Source organism: Homo sapiens, chromosome 15 (assembly GCF_000001405.40).
Source record: "Homo sapiens chromosome 15, GRCh38.p14 Primary Assembly".
In the NCBI taxonomy this organism is placed as follows: domain Eukaryota; kingdom Metazoa; phylum Chordata; class Mammalia; order Primates; family Hominidae; genus Homo; species Homo sapiens.
In genome coordinates this window covers 64,745,253-64,761,596 of record NC_000015.10, presented here as the reverse complement: position 1 = coordinate 64,761,596, position 16,344 = coordinate 64,745,253, and the positions used below count along the sequence as shown (strand labels likewise).

The 16,344-nt window shown below is 52.4% G+C and overlaps 1 protein-coding gene across 5 annotated transcripts in view, besides 3 other annotated features; it reads left to right on the top strand.

Annotated features, from left to right (window-relative positions):
- The window catches only part of RBPMS2 (RNA binding protein, mRNA processing factor 2), a 35,699-nt gene that overhangs the window by 13,993 nt on the left and 5,362 nt on the right, over positions 1 to 16,344 (top strand). For 3 of the 5 annotated variants that reach the window (NR_138363.2, NM_194272.3, XM_047432446.1), the window contains exons 2-6: positions 9,959 to 10,036; positions 11,216 to 11,254; positions 12,104 to 12,166; positions 12,447 to 12,597; positions 13,030 to 13,178. Coding sequence is in view for 2 of the 5 variants with exons in the window: in NM_194272.3 (NP_919248.1) it covers positions 9,959 to 10,036; positions 11,216 to 11,254; positions 12,104 to 12,166; positions 12,447 to 12,597; positions 13,030 to 13,178 (480 nt within the window). In the remaining 3 variants the exon portion in view is untranslated. Of the gene's footprint in view, positions 1 to 379; positions 467 to 9,958; positions 10,037 to 11,215; positions 11,255 to 12,103; positions 12,167 to 12,446; positions 12,598 to 13,029; positions 13,179 to 16,344 lie in introns of those variants that run through there. The other 2 variants (NR_138364.2, NR_138350.2) reach the window with 2 other exon arrangements.
- Positions 6,642 to 6,821: an enhancer, noted in NCBI's record as "active region_9577". NCBI's record gives its function as "activates an Ori minimal core promoter by ATAC-STARR-seq in GM12878 lymphoblastoid cells {active_cell/tissue: GM12878}" and the evidence as "EXISTENCE:reporter gene assay evidence [ECO:0000049][PMID:35858748]".
- Positions 6,862 to 6,921: an enhancer, noted in NCBI's record as "active region_9576". NCBI's record gives its function as "activates an Ori minimal core promoter by ATAC-STARR-seq in GM12878 lymphoblastoid cells {active_cell/tissue: GM12878}" and the evidence as "EXISTENCE:reporter gene assay evidence [ECO:0000049][PMID:35858748]".
- Positions 10,651 to 11,626: an enhancer, noted in NCBI's record as "H3K27ac-H3K4me1 hESC enhancer chr15:65042170-65043145 (GRCh37/hg19 assembly coordinates)". NCBI's record gives its function as "activates a minimal SCP1, AML or CMV promoter by ChIP-STARR-seq in primed H9 embryonic stem cells {active_cell/tissue: H9 hESC(primed)}" and the evidence as "EXISTENCE:reporter gene assay evidence [ECO:0000049][PMID:30033119]".

The window sequence follows — 16,344 nt, the reverse complement described above, 5'->3', positions numbered from 1 at the left end:
ACTGCACTCCAGCCTGAGCAACAGAGCAAGACCCTGTCTCAAAAAAGCCGAAGGCCAGTTGTTCCTGGGTACCTTGGGCTGGCCCCACTGGGTCTGAGTGGGTTGGTGTGAGATCAAGGTCTGCAAAAGAGCATTGACTCGTGAGCTGGGCACTTGGGAACAGGCTGTTTCTGACATGCTCGGTAACTGCGAGCAACTCGCTCGACCCCTAGGCCCTGGTTTCCTCCTCTAAAAATAAGGTTTCTTCCAGCTCAGATGTTCTGTATTTGGGTTGCTACTGAGGGCTGGGAGTTGGGGAAGGATGTGGGAGGGGCTTATAAGAGGCTCGTTTTTCCCTTTTTGGATTTCTCTCCTCTTCTCACCCCCTTCCCAAAGTAGTGTTTTCCATCGGGATGACACCGGGAGAGCTCGCTCGAAGCAGTGGGTAGGGGACTGCTGAAGCACGTGCATTCGTTACTTGAACATTGTGAGTGGACAGTTGAAACAATTCTTCCTTTCCAGATTGAATTCTAACTTTTAGAGATGCTAAAGGGTTGCTGCAAAAGTCTTTTTTTTTTTTTTTTTAAGGATATTTCTATTGCCTGCAGTGAGATTTTCCTGGGGTGTCTTTTCTCCAAGTCCCAATCCTGTGAGACAGGAATTTACAGAAGGCCAGAGTTGGCCTCTAGGGGTGACTGTTCCTGGTGGGTTGGTGGGTTGTCTGTGGGCAGGGAAGAGTGGGGAGTGGTTCCAGTGGTTTCTTGCCTCAGTATCCTTGGTGGAGAAGGGTCTGTTTGCTTTCTTTTTTTTTTTTCGAGATGGAGTTTCACTCTTTTTGCCCAAGCTGGAGTGCAATGACGTGATCTCGGCTCAGTGCAACCTCTGTCTCCTGGGTTCAAGCGATTTCTCCAGCCTCAGCCTCCCGAGTAGCTGGGATTACAGGCGTGCGCTACCATGCCTGGCTGATTTTTGTATTTTTAGTGGAAAGGGGATTTCACCATGTTAGCCAGGCTGGTCTAGAACTCCTGACCTCAGGTGATCCGGAGAAGGATCTGTTTTCTAGGTGGTGGTTCCTGGAGTCTGGGGTCCTTTCGTGGCTATTCTAAGGCCGGGATTTGTCCTCCAAACTTAAAGCTTAAGAGACTTTAATATCCCTGAGCCTACCACTGTTTTTGAAAGCAGTGTTTACCTTTTCCATCACTAATAAAAGCCAGCACTTACGGAACTTGTCCTCATGGTCACAGTATCTGAGAAGTTTAGAGTTGGATCCCTCAGCATCGGGCTTGTCCTTCCCCTTGCAGAGGGAGACACGCTTCTGGTGAGCGGCCAGGCCGCAGCCACTTCTGACCAAGTGTGGGGTCCCCATGGTCGTGGCTCCTGGCCGACCCCATGTCCCAGTCCTGTTCTTCATGGAGGCTTTGCTCAGCTGCTTTGGCCCCTCCTTCTCCCCCACGAGCCCATTCCCTATTCCTGCAGGACCTCCATGTGAGCTGGGCCCTGTGTGTGCCCTGGAAGGAGGGACCCTAAGCATCTGCTGTCCAGGGCACTGGCCTTTTGTGGCAGCAGCTTGAATGCCAGGTCTGCCCATGGCAGTGTCCAGGGCCAAGAGAGACGTCTACCTGAGCTGATAGACACAGGCCGAGTAGGCCTGGCGCGGTGGCTCACGCCTGTAATCCCAGAACTTTGGGAGGCCAAGGTGGGCAGATCACTTGAGGTCAGGAGTTCAAGACCATCCTGGCCAACATGGCGGAACCCCATCTCTACTAAAAATACAAAAATTAGCCGGGCATGGTGGCGCGCTCCTGTAGTCATAGCTACTCCGGAGGCTGAGGCAGGAGAATCGCTTGAACACGGGAAGTAGAGGTTGCAGTGAGCTGAGATGGTGCCACTGCACTCCAGCCTAGGTGACAGCAAGACTCCATCTCAAAAAAATTAAAAAATAATTAAAAAAAGAAAAACAGGCCGAGTCCCTTTCCACGCAAGCCTGGATTTGTGCTGGTGTCTTGGGTGCTCCTGATACTTTGCTCCTGAAGGGTTGTTTAATTTGGTCTTTTCTGAAGATCCTGAAACAAATGTCAGTTTGTCTGAAGGAAGAACATCACCGACACGTAGATGGGAATGGGTTTGTCAGAGCCCCTTCTTCTTACTTCTCTTCTCTAAAAAATGACCCCTTAACCTCTAGGCTGGAGAGGGCTGTGGAGGAAGAACATTTGGATGTCAGCTTGCAGCTCACACCTTCCTGAAAGAGAGGGCTGGGTGACCTGGGCAGCCTGGGCAGGCTCCTCCGTCGTGGTGGGATTAGACAGCATGGTCCAAAAGCTCCTCCTAGATCTATTCGTACTAGGAGGGGATTCCCCATTCCAGGGGCCTCCAGAAACAAGGCTGAGGATGGGGGGCTCTACTTCCTGTGCCACCCAGGTGCTGTGCTCCCCTTCCCCAGGACCCCAGGGCTGAGTTACGATGCTGGAGCTGGGAGTGAGACTGAGGGGCCTCCCGGGGAGGTGGGGAGAGGTCAAGAGGTGGCTCAGGATGGGTGAGGTGGCTCACACCTATAATTCCAGTGCTTTGGGAGGCTGGGGCAGGAAGATCACTTGAGCCCAAGAGTTCGAGACCAGCCCAGGCCACAGAGTGACGCCCCATCTCAAAAAATAAAAATAAAATAAAAATAAAAGTTTAATTTTTAATTAAAAATAAAAATAGGTAGCTCCCAGGCACTCTAGGTCTAGCACTGGCTGGCGGGAGAGAGCTCAAGAACACACAGGCCCTTCTCCCCAAAGGAGTCAGGCTTATAAACAATTGGCAGCAAAGATCTAGAGGACTCCAGGAAGTGCCAGTAAGTGATAGCCTGTGGGGTCCATGGACCCCTCTCCCACCCTCCCACTCCCTGTGACTCTAGAGGCAAGACTTGCCTCAGAAAAGAGCAGCTCTGGGTGCCTCCAAAGCTTTGCTGGGCAGAGGCAGTTGTGCCAAAAGTTGGTCAGTTCCCCTAGGTAGGCCTGGCACTGGCTGGGACCTCCAGCAGGGCTGGGTCTGCTCCTGTGGGGTCATGAGAGCCACACAGCCATGTCTGTGGTATTCTGTATGGGTACACAACCCTGGCCACGTTCCTTGCCTATATTGGTGCTTGCAGCAGGTTCCACCAGAAGGGTTGTTCCTCAACAAGTATCTTTGACTGAGTTCTCAGAATCATCCTCCATCCGTTCCCCCGGTCTCCCCCATACCTGCTCCATGTGACTACAGGTGTACCTTCCAGCTGTGCTGAGGACCTGACTGTGCTCCCAGCATTTCTGCTCTTACTTGCCATAAGGGTGACTTTTTTGGAAGGGCTGTGGTTGCTCTTCACATTTTGGGACAGGAACCCTTGGGTTGCTGGATGCTTCTGCAGAAGGGATGAGAGTATGGAAAAGGGCCCAAGTGAATGCGTTTGGTGCCTTCCAGCAGCCTGAGATTGTGAGAACCACCCCTGTGCACTCTTTAAATGCTTTAAAACGTTTTGTGTATGTGCTGAATTCTTGTAATAAACCCATGGAATAGGCAGGACATGAGTTATTTGGTTGAACTTTCCTTGTCATCAACTAGTTGTCGGTGCCTGAATCCTTGTCTGCATCTAACCTTTTATTTTTTATTTTTGTTTTTTAGAGGTAGGGTCTTGCTCTGTTGTTGCCCAGGCTGGAATTCAAGTGGTGCAATCATGACTCACTGCAGCCTTGAATTCCTGGGCTCAAGCGATGCTCCCACCTCAGCCTCCCGAGTTGCTCAGACTTCAGGTGCCTTCCACCACGCCTGGCTGATTTTTTGTGGGGGGGGATAGGGCCTTGCTATATTGCCCAGGTTGGAGCATCCAGCCTGTTCCTGAATGTTTCCCCTGTTACCCTGACGTAGGTACCACAATGGTCCCCTGTACTGGCCTGAGACACAAGACTAGTTGGCTGGACCTTGGAGAAGTAACTGCATGTCTCTGTTCCTGCCATTGCTGAAAGATCCTGGCTGTGCCATCAGCTTGCCTTGTTACCCTGTTCTTGGCTTCAGTTTCCCCATCTATAAAACGAAGGGGTTGAACTAGCTGATCTCTGTGGTGTCTTCTATTTCGGGCATTACCTCCTCTGGGGAAGAGAAAAACTAAAGAATCTAGTGACCACCTTAGGACATCCTACCCACATTACCAGCTTCAGTAGACAACCTTAATAAGTGGCTCATGGCACCTGATGAGGGAGATCCTTGTGCAGGTAAATGCAGGAGCCCTAAATGAAGCCAGCATTTTATTGCTCTCACAAGTAATGGGGAGAGTAAGGTGAGCTCTTAGTCTTGGAGGTAGATGGTGTTTGTGTTGTGAAGATGAAACTGAGGCCAGGCATGGTGGCTCATACCTGTAATTCCACCACTTTGGGGAGGCCAGGGCAGAAGGATTCTCTGAGCCCAGGAGTTCAAAACCAGCCCAGGCAACATAGTGAGACCTCATCGCTACAAAAATGGAAAAGCTAGCCAGGCATTGTGGTGCACACCTATAGTCCCAGATACTCTGGAGGCTGAGGCAGGAAGATCTCTTGAGCCTAAGAGTTTGATGCTGCAGTGAGCTATGATAGCGCCACTGCACTCTAGCCTGGGAGACAGACCGAGACTCCATTTCCAAAAAAAAAAAAAAAAAAATGAGGCCGGGCATGGTGGCTCGCACTTATAATGCCAGTACTTTGGGAGGCCAAGGCGGGCGGATCACTTGAGGTCAGGGATTCCTGACCTCAAGGAACTCCTTGAGGTGAGGAGACCAGCCTGGCCAACGTGGTGAAACCCTGTCTCTCCAAAAAAAAAAAAAAGAGCTGGGCGTGGTGGCAGACGCCTGTAATTCCAGCTACTTGGGAGGCTGAGGCAGGAGAATCATTTGAACCCAGAGGACAGGGTTGCAGTGAGCAGAGTTTGTGCCACTGCACTCCAGCCTGGGCAACAGAGCGAGACTCCATAAAAAAAAAAAAAAGAAATGAAAAATAAATAAAAATAAGAAACTGAGATTCGGAAAGATGAAGTGGCTTCCTCAGGCCAAGCATGAAGCTAGGAAGCAAACTCCAGTGTAACTAAGGCCTGTTCTCTTTGCCTTTTTTTTTTTTTTGAGACAGGGTCTTGCTCTCCTGCCCAGGATGGAGTGCAATGGTATGATCTCGGCTCACTGCAACCTCCATCTCTCCAGGGTTCAGGGGATTCTCGTGCCTCAGCCTGCCAAGTAGCTGGGACTACAGGTGTGCGCCACCACACCCAGCTAACTTTGTATCTTTAGTAGAGACGGGGTTTCATCATGTTGGCCAGGCTGGTCTCAAGCTCCTGACCGCAAGTGATCCACCCTCCTTGGCCTCCCAAAGTGCTGGGATTACAGGTGTGAGCCACCATGCCCGGCCCTCTCTGCCATTTATGGTATCGTTCTGCCATGCTGGATCGTATCTGGTCTCTGGCTGTGAGTTTCTTCTCTGCAGGGACTGAGGTGTGTAGAGATGGGGGAGGTCTCCAGTGCTTAGACCTGACTCTAGGGACATTGGGAGATGGAAATGTTTTGAGGCTTGGTTCCTGTCTCTAGGGCTTTCTGTAGTCAAGGTGAGGGGTACCTCAGACTGCTGGGAACTATAAGGCGAGGGGTCCTAACGGCCACTGTGGGGCTTCAGAGGAAGGAAAGGGTAGTTGAGGACTCCGGAAAGACCTGAAGGCTGGATACCTTTAGTTAAGGAGTGAGGAAGGGGTGAGCCGAGGGGGCAGTGCAGGCAGCCTTGTGGACGCTTGTCAGGGCCCTGGAGTGGGTGGGCTGGGCGGGCTTGATGGAAGCAGGTGTTGGGCGGCTTTGGAACCTCTTGTTCCTCCCTACATGTGGCTGGTCAGCCTGCGGAGCCCACGCTTCCCCTGCTCCTGGTTTGCCAGTTTCCCCTTTTTCTGCCCTCCTCACTCTGGTGTGGCTGTCATCCTAAACAAGTGTCATACTGAGTGGATGGATGGCAGCACTTACCCACCCATGACGCTGATGAGGCTGCCCTGTGCCGCTCCCCCTGCCCTCACAAACAGCAGAGTCAGGGTGCCTGGTCTCAGGAGCCCTGCTCCTCCGTGAACTCAGCTGTGTGCCGTTGACAAATCACCAAGGCTTTCTGGGTCTCAGTCTCCCTGTCTGTACAAGGGGCTGGGCTTTAAGATGTCATCTGCTGGGGTGGCTGGAATCTAGTAGGAACCAAGGCGGGTGTTTGGGAATCACACTTGCTGTGATTTAGCCTCCCGGACTGCTCCCCACAGAGCATCTGTGCTCAGGCAGACGGGCCCACCAGCTCATCCGTGACTGCCTTGACCACCTGAGAGGTGGCCAGGGACAGGATGGGAGCTGTGGGGTAGCCTTTTGGACTCTATAGAACCTGAAAGATGGAACCCTGAGGAAAAGGGTCATCGGACCCAGAGGGAATCCTGGCTGGAAACGAGTCTTGAGCCAGGATAAGGAAACAGCCCCTACACTCACCCCACCCTACCCCAAGCGGAAACTCTGTGCTGAGAACTTGCTATTTAAGAGGCCTCTGGGGAGGTCTGGCCAGAAAGGAGCCATTTGAGGGAGGGTTTAAAATTAGCCTGGGTGAAATGTGTGGCCCCTGGGGAGAACTGAAGCAGAGGTTTCCGTGGGTCTGCTCTGGTCTGGGTCTTTGACCCAAATCATGTCCTGCTTTCCTGGGGAGGAAGGGGAGGAGAGAAGGGAGTGGTACCGATCTAGGTCCCTCCATCAGGACGCTGGTGGCTGCACTCTTGGCCCATCCTCTGGGGTGAGGTGTTGGAGGCAGACCCTGGGCTACCCAGAGGGCTTGGTGCTCGGGTCCTGTCGTCCTTTCCCAGCACCCAAAGCACCCATCACCTCTGCCAGGCTGGGCACGTAGTAGGAAGACTTGGGTTTTGGGTTTTTTTTTTTTGAGACGGAGTTTTGCTCTTGTTGCTCAGGCTGGAGTGCAGTGGGCCAGGCTGGGCATGTAGTAGGAAGACTTGGGTTTTGGGTTTTTTTTTTGAGACGGAGTTTTGCTCTTGTTGCCCAGGCTGGAGTGCAGTGGTGTGATCTCAGCTCACTGCAACCTCTGCCTCCCGATTCAAGTGATTCTCCTACCTCAGCATCCCTTGTAGCTGGGATTATAGGCATGCGCCACCACACCCAGCTAATTTTGTATTTTTTAGTAGAGACGGGGTTTCTCCATGTTGGTCAGGCTGGTCTTGAACTCCCAACCTCAAGTGATCCACCCACCTCGGCCTCTCAAAGTGCTGGGATTACAGGTGTAAGCCACCACGCCCAGCCTTTTTTTTCTTTTTTTCTGAGATGGAGTCTCACTCTGTCGCCCATGCTGGAGTGCAGTGGTGCGATCTTGGCTCACCACAACCTCTGCCTCCTGGGTTCTAGTGATTCTCTTGCCTCAGCCTCCGAAGTAGCTGGGACTGCAGGGATGGGCCACCACACCTGGCTAATTTTTTGTATTTTTAGTAGAGATGGGGTTTTACCACGTCGGCCAGGCTGGTCTCAAACTCTTGACCTCAAGTGATCCACCCGCCTCAGCCTTCCAAAGTGCTGGGGTTACAGGCATGAGCCACTGCACCTGGCCGAGGCCTGGGTTTTGAGTTCCAGGTCTGCTGCCTTTAAAGAACAAGCCATGTGACCTTGGACAAGTCACTTCTGCTTGGGGATTCACACGCACACCTCAAGGCCCTTACATCAAAGGGCAGAGAGGCCTGCTGGGCTCAGGTCAGGAGCTCGGTTTCACCCATCCTGGATCCTTGGCTATCCAGACCCCCAGATGCTGCCAACAACAAAGCAGGATTCGAGTGGTGTCTCCGTGGGACATGAGCTGCCAGGGCTGTGAGGTGTGAGGTGCCATCACCCCAACCCCGGGCACAGAGGCTGGTATAGTGGTGCCTCTACTGAGGGGAAGACGTGTCCCAAGGGAGAAGATGCGTCCCAAGCGGCCCGAGATTCTGCTGAATGGGCTTGGCAAAAGCTCACGTGAGGTTTGTCTTCACCATGGCTGAGAGTCAAAGTTTAAGAGACAAAGTTTGTCTTCACCGTGGCTGAGAGTCATTCTTGCGTGGGTGGGAGTGGTGACACCAGTAACCAGCAGCTATCCTGGCTGATTTCCTTTGACATTCTTGGCTCTGTTGAGTTCTCTGGGTGCATTGGGTGTAGTTTTACCTAACATTGCTCCAGCTTCCTGAGACAAGCCACTGATAAAAGCCATCGTCTCAGAAAGGCTGTTGTCTGGGGTCAGCGGGCCATCACTAGAGAGCGGAGCAAGTTCTTTGGTACCTCTCAAGAAGGGGATGTGGCCCACTGTAGGGCAACTTAATGCTTTCAAGAATGGCCGCGTGATGGGGTGAGGCATGTGAACTTCTAAAATCTGCAGCGGTGAGTTCAGAAGACCTGTGCTTGGCTTCGCAGGAGGAGATGTGGCCCAGAGCAGGAGTCAAGCGTGTAGGGACGCTCTGCTTGTTCACATTTTTCATTATTCAGGAAGCCACGGTTTCAAAAAATGTTTTGAATGGATCTAAGCTATGGAAAGTCTCCCCTTCCCCATCACAATTTTTGGCTGATCAGGGCTTGCTAGTTTAGCATCCGGTGCCAGCAGCGTTTAAATAGCAGCAGTGGCTACAGTCACAGGATGGACACCTAGTGTTTAGATCTGGCTTGTAACCATGTTGGGGGCAATGCTCAAAATTCACAGCATCAGCCGGGCACGGTGGCTCAATCCTGTCATCTCAGCACTTTGGGAGGCCGAGGTGGGCGGATCACTTGCGGTCAGGAGTTCGAGACCAGCGTGACCAATGTGGTGAAACCCCATCTCTACTAAAAATGCAAAGAATTAGCTGGGCATGGTGGTGCATGCATGTAATCCCAGCTACATGGGAGGCTGAGGCAGGAGAATCGCTTGAACCGGGGAGGCAGAGGTTGCAGTGAGCCGAGATGGCGCCACTGCACTCCAGTCCGGGTGACAGCAAAACTCCATCTCAAAAAAAAAAAAACTCACAGCATCAAATGCTTCACCTGAAGCTGGCAAGATCTTAGCGTGTTCTTCAAAACTCAGCATAATGGTTTTGACTGTTTACCCATTACCCTGTTCAGTCAACATTTAGTACCATCACCATGCTAAGAGCAGGCAGAGAGGCAGGAGTATAAGGTGTTTCTTGACATTGAAGGTCCCACATCTCGTGTAGGAGCAGGAGATGGATGAGAAAGTGCCGGGCCCTCTGTTGAAATCACTGCAGGGGATAGTGGGCATGGGACTCTGTTTCCTTTACATCTTTGCTCCTCCCCTCGACCAGACTGGAGGCTCTCTACCAGGAGGCCATGGGTATCATCTAGAAAACAGATACTTTTTTGTCTGAGGGGCCAGTGGTGCAATGGATTAAAAAAATAGATACATTTTTACATGTACATTTTTGGGGGGTCAGGCACTGCAGCTTTCTTCAGATTTTTAGAGGAGGCTTTGGTTTGAAAAGGCATACCGATTAGCATGGCGTGGTGGTGTACCCCAGTAATCCCAGCTACTCAGGAGGCTGAGGCAGGAGAATCTCTTGAACCCAGGAGGTGGAGGTTGCAGTGAGCTGAGATCACGCCACTGCAGTTTAGCCTGGGCAACAGAGTAAGACTCTGTCTCAAAAAAAAAAAAGAAAAAAAAAAAGGCATGCTGGGCTGGGTTTGTACCCTTATCAAACAGGGCTTTCTTTTTGCCTCTGTTCACCAGCAGACTCAGTCTGTGTGCAGAGGCATCCGGCAGACGCAGCACGATGCCTCTGGGATGTACCCAGAGAAAGGAAAGGGCTTTGAGAAATTGAGTGCTGTGAAACAATGTTAATTTGCCTTGGGTATCCAAGGAGGCCCAGGAAAGGCTGAATTCCTCTAAGCTCTAGAAGGATTCCAGTTGCCTGCCTGAAGGAAGCGCTGTTGTCATCCCTGTCCGTCTTGGGCAGCCTGGCCCTGATCACTGGTCTCTGTCTCCAGGTCCGGACACTGTTTGTCAGCGGCCTCCCTGTGGACATTAAACCCAGAGAACTCTACTTGCTCTTCCGGCCGTTCAAGGTGAGTCAGGACCCAGCCGCCCCCTGGGTAGAGCCTGGGACCCTGGAGAAGCAGCGGGAGTGAATCTCGGGTCGGGCAGGGCAGCAGGATGATGCGGGAAGGCGTGGCAGAAGCTGTGGGGGCAGGTCCAGCCCGTGTCCTGGTTCTGCGAATTCACATGCTGCCTTCTGAGCCTCTGTTTCCTCGCCAGTTAAATGGAGACAGTAAGAATCTTTTTTTTTTTTTCCTCGAGACGAGTCTTGCTCTGCCGCCCAGGCTAGAGTGCAGTGGCTTGATCTCGGCTCACTGCAACCGCTGCCTCCTGGGTTCAAGCAATTCTCCTGCCTCAGCCTCCCAAGTAGCTAGGATTACAGGCATGCGCCATTATGCCCGGCTAATATTTGTGTTTTCAGTAGAGATGGGGTTTCACCATGTTGGTCAGGCTGGTCTTGAACTCCTGACCTCGTGATCCGCCCGCCCCGGCCTCCCAAAGTGCTGGGATTACAGGTGTGAGCCACGGCGCTTGTCCTTTTTGTTTGTTTTGTTTTGAGACAGAGTCTCACTCAGTTGCCCAGGCTGGAGTGCAGTGGCGTGCGGCTCACTGCAACCTCCGCCTCCTGGGTTCAGGCGATTCTCCTGCCTCTGCCTCCCGAGTAGCTGGGACTACAGGCACCCTCCACCATGCCTGGCTAGTTTTTGTATTTTTAGTAGAGATGGGGTTTCACCATATTGGCCATGATGGTCTGGATCTCTTGACCTTGTGATCTGCCCGCCTCGGCCTCCCAAAGTGCTGGGATTACAGACGTGAGCCATGATGCCCAGCTAACAGTAAGAATCTTTAAATATATGTGGTTATATAAAGAATCTTTGAGATTCAGTGTAGCCTTTTCAGTTTGCAGATGAGAAAACTTAAAAGGTAAGGTCTGTGCTCTCGGGTTACTAGTTAGTGGAGCAAATGGGAATTTCTGCCTGAAGTGATGAGTGCTGCCGCGTGATGCCCACCCTATGTGCTAGACCGCGTGATTCAGAACGCAGGGCGGTGGACGTTTGGCAGTGGCGGAGGTCAGGGTGGGTTGATGTTGACAGGGAGAAGGGTGTGAGAATGACTCAGGGGAACGCGGGGGCTGATGAGGTGGCAGCGCTGGGCTAGCACAACATACGCTTCTGACCTTCCACGGTAACAGCCACCTCTCTCCGCAGGGGTATGAAGGGTCCCTGATCAAGCTCACTGCAAGACAGGTAATTTCTCTCCTAGGGTTTTCTTCCTCCCAGCCCAGACCGGCTGCTGAGCTTCAAACAAGGGCCCGTTAACCCTTCCCTAATCTAGAGGCATCTGGCGGTACAGACTTGCGCTCCCTGTTGTCCTGTTTCTGACAGAGCAGCCTCTGTAGGTCCCACTGTCTCTTCACTGGCCATCTGAGCCCAGCCAGCTCCTGGTCCTCCCTGTCTGTTTCTTAGGAATCTGGGAGCCCCGCTGGCTGAGGACAGTAAAGCAGTTAGCTGAGCTCTAGCTTTTTTTTTTTTTGAGATGGAGTTTTGCTCTTGTTGCCCAGGCTGGAGTGCAATGGCACGATTGAGCTCTAGCTTTTAATACAAGGAGGCCAGGGCCCGCTAGCCTTTGGGGGCTATTTGGGGTCTAGACTGATCCTTGGGAAAATGAAGTTGGAGCAGTTTTCAACCTATTGCTCCTTGATAGAACCGGAGTCTTCCCATGCCCTTGATACATTGGTGTCCCCTTTCTTGCTGGGGAAAACACTGGGACTTACTTTTAGTTATCTGCATGCATTAAAAACAATACTTTTACTAAAAGGGCGACGTTTAATTCAGTGGAATTAAGCTCTGTTGGCATCATTTCCCACAGGATATTCCTGGGGAGGGAGACTTGACTTTTGGTGCATGTTAAACTGCTGTTCCAGTGAACAGGGAGGATGTGGGCTGGAGTTTTGGGGGGCTTTTTTTCCTTTTGTATTCTCATCAGCAGGGCAAATACTGTTTCCACATAGATGATACTCTTTTTTTGTTGTTATTTTGGAGGGAGAGGTGGAATGCTAGGAGAGATATAAGGGTGTTCTCTCTTTTTCCTACTAGCCTGTTGGTTTTGTGATCTTTGACAGCCGTGCAGGAGCAGAAGCGGCCAAGAATGCGCTGAACGTGAGTAGGTGGAGAACAGGTCTTCTCTGACTCACAGCCCTCTTAGGCAGTGGGTGTGCAGATGTATCTTATTTCCCGGCCATCCCTGGGCAGAGTCCTTGGCGACACTGTCTGTGCCAAAGGCCATTACTCAAGGCCTGAGCTGCCTTTCCTCTGCCTCAGCCACCGTGTGGGCAGGTCTTCGAGGCGAGCTTGTTTATGGCGCCCTTCTCTACTCTCTGCCATTAACACTCTGGGTCCCCCGGAGTAAGCCTTTCTCTTCTTTTCTCTACCCATGTAGGGTATTCGCTTTGATCCCGAAAATCCACAGACTCTGAGGCTAGAGTTTGCCAAAGCCAACACCAAGATGGCCAAGAGCAAGCTAATGGCAACTCCAAATCCCAGCAACGTGCACCCCGCCCTAGGAGCACACTTCATCGCACGGGACCCCTGTGAGTGGCACTCTGAGCTGGCAGGCCCTCATGGAGTTGCATTCAGGGCAGACTTGCAGGCTCTTGCAGAGGGAAGCCCCTTTTCCAGGAGGCTTTTTGTGTCCACGGCCACCCATTTTTGAAACACCTGGTTTTCCTCCCTCCCCTGCAGCCTGCCTAGAATTTCTGAGCTGCCAGGGCTTCCAGCTTCCCTGCAACCTTCTTTAATTTCTCATTTGAGACGAGCTGAGGCCTGTCTTAAAGCAGGCAGGATGCACACCATGACAGGCCGATTTAACGTGGCTTCCTTGCCTGGTCTCGGGGTCCTCTGTGGTTGGGGGTGGTCTGGCCTCAGTGTGGGGCATATGGCTCAACCATAGTGCTGGGTCCCCTTCTCCGTTTGGAAGGGGAGGCGAGTGTTCTGATGATGGAGGCCATTGTCTCCTGTTGTAGATGACCTGATGGGGGCTGCTCTGATCCCTGCATCCCCAGAGGCCTGGGCCCCCTACCCTTTGTACACCACAGAGCTGACCCCAGCCATCTCCCATGCTGCGTTCACCTACCCAACTGCCACTGCCGCTGCCGCCGCCCTCCACGCTCAGGTAAGCCCTTTAAGGTTGGGGAGGGCGAAGAACAAGGGCTCTTAGCTGGCCAGACTTTGCATGTGCCTGGCCACTTGGCCGCTGCTGTCCCAGAGCTGCAGCAGAACTCTTGTCTTCCTTGATGGTTTGAAAGCCCAGACCCCAGGGACCTATTTGTCCTCCCCTTGGGTTTAGGATTTGACAGGGAGGGAGAAGATAACCCACGAGTTCCCATGGAGGATGCCAGGCAGCCCAGCTGTGGTTCCCCAGCCCCAAGCACCCCTGCCCAGGCACCGACTATGTTCTCCCATGGTGATGGGACTATGATTCCAGTCCTAACCTGGGTATGGTCTCTGGAGTCAGACCATCTGCCTCTGCCCCTTCCTGTCCCTTTCATCAAGCTCTTACAGATTGCTGTGCCTCGATTTTTTTTTTTTAGTCATCTGAAAAATGGGAATGATCAGATAATCTGCCTTAGGGTTGTTGTGAAAGTTAGATGTCAAGACGAAGTGACTACTGAGTGCTAGGATGTAACCTAGAGCGCCCTGAGTGTTGGCTCTCGCTTCCATGAAGGCTGGACGCTGTCCACTGTGAACCTGTGCCGGGCAGGAAACAGGGAGTGAATGCTTCTGGGGAGAGTCGGGGCTGTTAGAGCAGGGCCAGGAAGGCTCTGTGTGGGGTGCTGGGCTGGGTGCCCAATGGGCAGGCAGGGAGTCAGGCTTTCCCCTGGCCATGCAGGCGCTTCCTCTGGTCTGACTTGGCCACAAGTGCAGGTCACTGGAGCACTCTGCAGGGGAGGTCTCATCCCACTGTGCGTGTGTCGGGGAGCAGTGGGGTGCCTCACAGTGGCAGTGACAAGTTGCAGCCAGGCAGCCACAGGAAGGGGCTGGGGGGCACTTTTGAGCCCACCTCAACCTTTGACCAGCCAGGTGATGAGCACTAATCCCCAGGAAGAGCTGCCCGGCCAGGGTGTGCTGTGCTGCTGCGAAGGAGAGAATTGAGGTTGCTGGGACCTGGCTGGGGAGCAGGAGGGGATGAGGAAGGAAAGCAGGAGAAGCCAGAAAGGAGGGTTCACAGGAGCCAGAGCTGAGGCGGGAGGAGTCGGGTGCTCTGCCCGAGAGCTGTGTGTACGTCCATTTTCAGGTTCTTCCAGGGACTCAGTGACACCTGGGTTTGTCCAGTTCCAAAGCGGAAAGTTCAGATTCAGGGGCTGCTACCCTAGCAAACTGTTTTCCCCAGCAGGGGAATGCTCCCTGGCTCCGCAACGTTCAGTTGTACTGAGGGCAGAATTGTGGTTAACCCTGGCGCTCTTCCCCAGCTGAGCACCACAAATAGCTTGAAAATTGATCAGAGGATAAGGAAGGTGGTAAAGACCTTCCCCTGGAGGGAATTGTTGGGTATTTACTGCAAACTGGGTTCTGTGGCTGGAATAGAGCGGGGAGCAGGGAAGCTCATCCTGTCTACCCTGACCTGGGCAGTGACTTGATGCTTCAGGTCAAGCGGATGTTTAACTGCAAGGCCCTGGGAGGCACTGGAAGGAATCACAGGCTCCCACCTCACTGGGCTTCTCACCTCTGATCCCAGCTTTGGCACCAATTGGCTACATGATCCTCACCTCTGTGTCCCCATCTGTAAAATGAGAGGGATAGACCAGATAAGGTGGAGAGGTTCTGCCCTATCCTCTGAATTGCTAGGCTGTGACAGAGGTTGGGAGCCAGGGACAATGAGTTTGTCAAATGAATCAGAGAGGGCACCTCTGCCCAGCCAGGTGGGGGTGGCACTGCTCTCTGGCCCTGAGCTCCACGCCACAGGGCTTCCTTCCTCCTGTTGGCTTCCTTCCCAGTTTTCTCCCACCCCATCCACACTCTGCAGCTGTCCAACTCTGGCCCAAATCCTGGTTCTCAACAGCTGTGGGACATTGGGCACGTTACCCACCATCTCTGTGTTTCTGTAAAATGGTGATGATAATGCCTACTTGATAGGTGTGTTGTTCGCATGATGGCATGGAGTCGCGTGATGGCATGGAGGGAGTGCTGTGAAAGTGCAGATGGTTGTGATGTTATTTAATATCATTATTGTCTGGGTTCCCTTGGGTCCTCTCTGAGGCTGGAGGCCTCTTTGTGCCTGAGTTCCTGCCTTCTGGCCTTCCTTGGACGGGGACTGGGATAGAGGCCACCCACCCCAAAGGATAGTGGCGTTTTTGGGGAGGCAGGCTAATGGGAAGAGATTAGACCAGGGAGTCATTAGTTCTGTCCTTGCTACTCAAACTCTCTGGGCAGCCCTTTCCTCAATAGTAAAACAGGTTGTTTTACTGTTTCCCGACTAAGAACATTTTATTTTTTTCCTTCCAACAGCCCCACTGCTTGCCCCCTGACAGTGCTGCCCCAGAGATAGGGTATAAAAGTGTCTAAATGAAGTATGGACACTGTTGATCTTAAGTGAATTGTTTTGAACCCAAAAGACCAATAGAAGGACTGAGTTTTTCTGTGCCTGGGGGCAAGGAGGTGACTTCAGGAGAAGGTAGCAGCTGAAGGACAAGGTGATGAGAACAAGTACCTCTGTTCTCTACCCCAGCTGCATGCCCTTTGCCAGTAGCCCAGCCTGAGCCCAGGCCTCCACAGCTACGTGGCTGCAGAGACCAGACCTGCAGGAGGGGTCCTGGAGGTTGTTTGGTCCTGCTCTGTCTTGGCATGAGGCTACCTTGCCTGGCCTTCTAACCCTCTTGATAGAATCTTCCCCTTAAAGAGGGTGAGGCACAAAAGCAACTGTGGATGGCAGGCCCAGTGGGGTTCAGCATAGAAAGATGGTGGCCTAAAAGCAAGGGTTCTCAGCGTCCTATTGCATCCCACGGTCCTCCCAGACTGGATTTCATTTTACGTTCCAACCTGAGGATATGCGGGTCTTCCATGGCTTTTTTCTCCCCCTTAAACTGGTTCACCCATTTACCAGTGACCTTAAGGTTACATAAACTCCCGTGCCTCTATTTTCTTATCTGTATCATGGAGATGATAATAGCATCTACTTCATAGGGTTTTTGTGAGGATTAAATGAACTTAGTATATGAAATCTACCTAGAACAGCATTGGGCACAGGGGAGGTGCTTCATGAGCAGGAGCTATTATTGTATTAGCATATCTGCATTTATGGAAAAAAACAGGCAGTTTTTGTTCTCTTCCCTTTGGCTTAT